This window comes from Homo sapiens, chromosome 1, assembly GCF_000001405.40.
Source record: "Homo sapiens chromosome 1, GRCh38.p14 Primary Assembly".
Taxonomy (NCBI): Eukaryota; Metazoa; Chordata; class Mammalia; order Primates; family Hominidae; genus Homo; species Homo sapiens.
In genome coordinates, this window is record NC_000001.11 from 61479124 (window position 1) to 61482581 (window position 3458).

The following is a 3458-nucleotide window of genomic DNA, read 5'->3' on the forward strand; positions in this document are numbered from 1 at the left end:
TTATTTGTAGAGATGGGGTTTCACCATGTTGCCCAGGACTCCAGGTGCACACCACCACTCCCAGCTAATTTTTTTTTTTTGGTATTATTTGTAGAGATGGGGTTTCACCATGTTGCCCAAGCTGGTTTCAAACTCTTGGGCTCAAGCGATTCACACCCCTTCAGCCTCCCAAAGTGCTGGGATTCTAGACTGAGCCACCATGCCCAGCCATAAGTTGGTACTTTAAAACAAACAATAAAATGGAATATTCCCTGAGGAGAATGACTGGTCAAAGAGCAACTTAAATGCACAAATAAGCAATGCCAGAAATGAAATAGAGGGATGTGCTATAGATGTGGTAGCATTACAAATAACAGTTAAAAAAAGCTTATGAACTAGTCTTACCGCAATAAACTAAAAAATATTGATCAAATGGACAATTTTTTTAGAAGCCTGACACTAGATTAAATTAAAAGTCTGAACCATCCTATTACCATGAAAAAAAAAATCAAAAACTTTTCCACCTAGAAAACTCTAGGTCCTAATATCTTCAACAGTGACAATGACCAAACACTAAAGAAAGAAACAATGCTAATAGTTCATAACTCTATAGAGAATAAGAAAGAAAAACCTCTCTATTTTACCTGGATACCAAAACCTGAAAAGGACATTACAGGAAAGAAAAATTATAGGCTAATCTCATGCACGAACATAGATGCAAAACTCCTAAGCAAAATGTTAACACGAAATCCAGCTTGGTCAGGTGCTGTGGCTCACACCTGTAATCCTAGCACTTTGGGAGGCTGAGGCTGGTGGATTGCCTGAGCTCAGGAGTTTGTGAACACCCTGGGCAAGATAGTGAAACCTCATTTCTACTAAAATACAAAAAAATTACCTGGGTGTGGTAGTGGGCACCTGTAGTTCTAGCTCCTTGGGAGGCTGAGGCAAGAGAATTGCTTGAGTCTGGGAGGCAGAGGTTGCAGTGCGTGCCATTGCACTCCAGCCTGGGCAACAGAGCAAGACTCTTCTCAAAAAAAAAAAAAGGAAAAGAAAGATATCCAGCTTTATAGTAAATGGGCATACAACACAACTAGGATGGTTTTATTCCCATAATACAAATGTAATTTAGCACTCAAAAATCAAAGTAATTCACCATATTGACAGGATAAAGGAGAATGTTTGCATGTGATAAATCATTGGCTTTAGAATTTTATTGTGTGCACCTATCTATATATGTGTTATATTTCACACTTTTAAAATATTAATATAATAAAGGCATTTAAGGCAGACTAGGCTACCCTGAAATTCACATGCTTTTTATAATTAGACATTCTGAACAATGTATTAGGTTGGTGCAAAAGTAATTGCGGTTTTTGCCATTACTTTTAATACAATTTGTAAAACTTAATTGTGTGGCTGAGCTTGCAAGGAAGAGAAATCGTGAGGTTCTAGAAAGAGTAGAAACTGAGAACATAGTAGAAGCACCCGATGCGGATTTTGGAGCAGCCACCCCAGGGGTTGGGAGTTGCAGAGCCAGGACAAGTGACAAGGGCTTGAGTGTTACTGCCTGTGTGTGGGATAGTGTGTGTGGGAGATTAAGAGCTGAACTTTAGACATTTTAAGCCACAGATGCATGTGAGACATTGAAGTCAAGCAGTGAGTTTGTTGTTAAACATCTGAAGTGCAAGGAAAAAAAATATATATATATGTAAGCTTGGGAATCTGGCCCACTGGTTGGGTTTAAAAACTGTCTTCAGGGGATCTTGAATTCCTGTGGCACTCTGTGCTTTCCTCTATGGTTGCACTCTCCCTATGAATTTTCTTTTTGTATACTGTCTTTCTAGACTTAAAGCAGGGACTGTTTCTGGATCCTTGTTTTGGAGGCCAAGAAAAACAAATGAAATAAAAAAAAAAACAACTCCATCAACATGATTATTGAACTCCTGGTGATTTTGTCAAGCAGCAGGAAGCCAAGCACGGATTTAGTCAGGTAACAGACATGCTGGAAAAGCAAGTGAGCCTGGAAAGGAGGACAGAATGTACTGGAAAAGGGAGAGATGGGCTTCCAAGGAGCCACCTCGAAGCTACAGAGGCAGGAGTGGACATTGAGAACAGAGAGCCTCCAGAGAAGAGCAGGTTGGTGTTCTTGGGTCCAAGACCATTCTCCTCCTTTCAGGGTCTGACATGTGGTTCTCAGGAAGTATAGTGTGGTTGAAGGATTGGTTAGGAAAGTCCCTCCACGTCCTACCACCTCCACCCTGGCACTGTGTGCCCGTGGGGCTATGATGGGAACAACCCACACCCTAAAATAGGATCCAAATTCCTTCCTCTTTTGTCATCAAAGCTGCATCTACTTTGCTCAAGCAAGTCAGGGAATCTCTGTGTCTTGAGTCCATAAATCTGCTTTCAAATTCCTCCAGCCACCTCTCCCTGGGTCTGTGAAAGGTCATTCAGAGTCTCTCCTTTGAGAGGGGAGAAACCACCCAGCAGATGAAAGGAACATCACTATATTCAAAGCTCGTGTGCATGCCAGGTGCTTGCTGCAAGAGCTGTTCCTGACTCACCTTGCTTTCTGAATGGCATTTCACTTCTTTGCCAATTCCTTGGAATCCCTCAATTGCCACACCTGGCAAATAAAAAATCAAAGTAATTCACCATAATATGCATCTGCAGGTGGGGCAGTGAGTAGAAGGTCGGGGGAGGAAGAGTGTGGTGGGCACAAGGTTTATAGTCCAGGGGGTGCTTGTTGACTGACTGGTCTTGATCCTCATAGAGGCCAAGGCTCTACCAGAAACTGAGGTCCTAACCTGAAAGGAGAATCAGGAAGATCAGTGAGCTACATGCTGCTTTTAAATAGCCTGAATATAGCTGGAGGAGGAATGGTTATAATGTTTCCTAAAATGAAAGAAAGGTGGGTGCCAAATAATTGTACAGAGAATACGCTGCAGACTATAGCATGAAGACAACCTCAGCATAGGGGAAAAAAAGACCGGGAGGAAATTGACCAAGATATTGTAACTGTAATAGGTTCATCGCCCCATGTGCAGCAAGTCAATATGCTGAGACACTGGGTTGCAGCAGAGAAAGAGGTTTCATCCTGGGGCTGCTGAACAAGGAGATGGGAGGAAACCTCACATGTATCATTCCAAGGAGTTTGGGGCTAGGGATTTTAAAGGTTTTGGAGTGGGCTGAAGTGTGGAGATCGTCGACTGGTCAAACGGTGCAGGGTGAAGTCATGGGACAGGGAGTTGAAGAAATTGCATTCTCATGCTGATTTGGTTCCACCGTGGGGGTTTTCAGACTGGTTGTCCTCAGCTGTTCTGCTGGAATTCAGAATCTGAAAAACAACCTAAGCAATTCTTAAAAGCTTTATGATTATAACATTGGAGAGCCTACCTATAAGAACAATGAGGATGCAAATGGTCGGTGTCTAGTGCTACACGACTTTCCATTACAAGGAACTGAGCCAAAGCACAGCC

General features: G+C 42.4%; 1 annotated feature.

The window, feature by feature from the left end:
- Positions 1978–3177: an enhancer, noted in NCBI's record as "P300/CBP strongly-dependent group 1 enhancer chr1:61946773-61947972 (GRCh37/hg19 assembly coordinates)". NCBI's record gives its function as "activates an origin of replication core promoter dependent on BRD2, BRD4, P300/CBP, MED14 and CDK7 cofactors, with strong dependence on P300/CBP, by STARR-seq in HCT116 cells {active_cell/tissue: HCT116}" and the evidence as "EXISTENCE:reporter gene assay evidence [ECO:0000049][PMID:35650434]".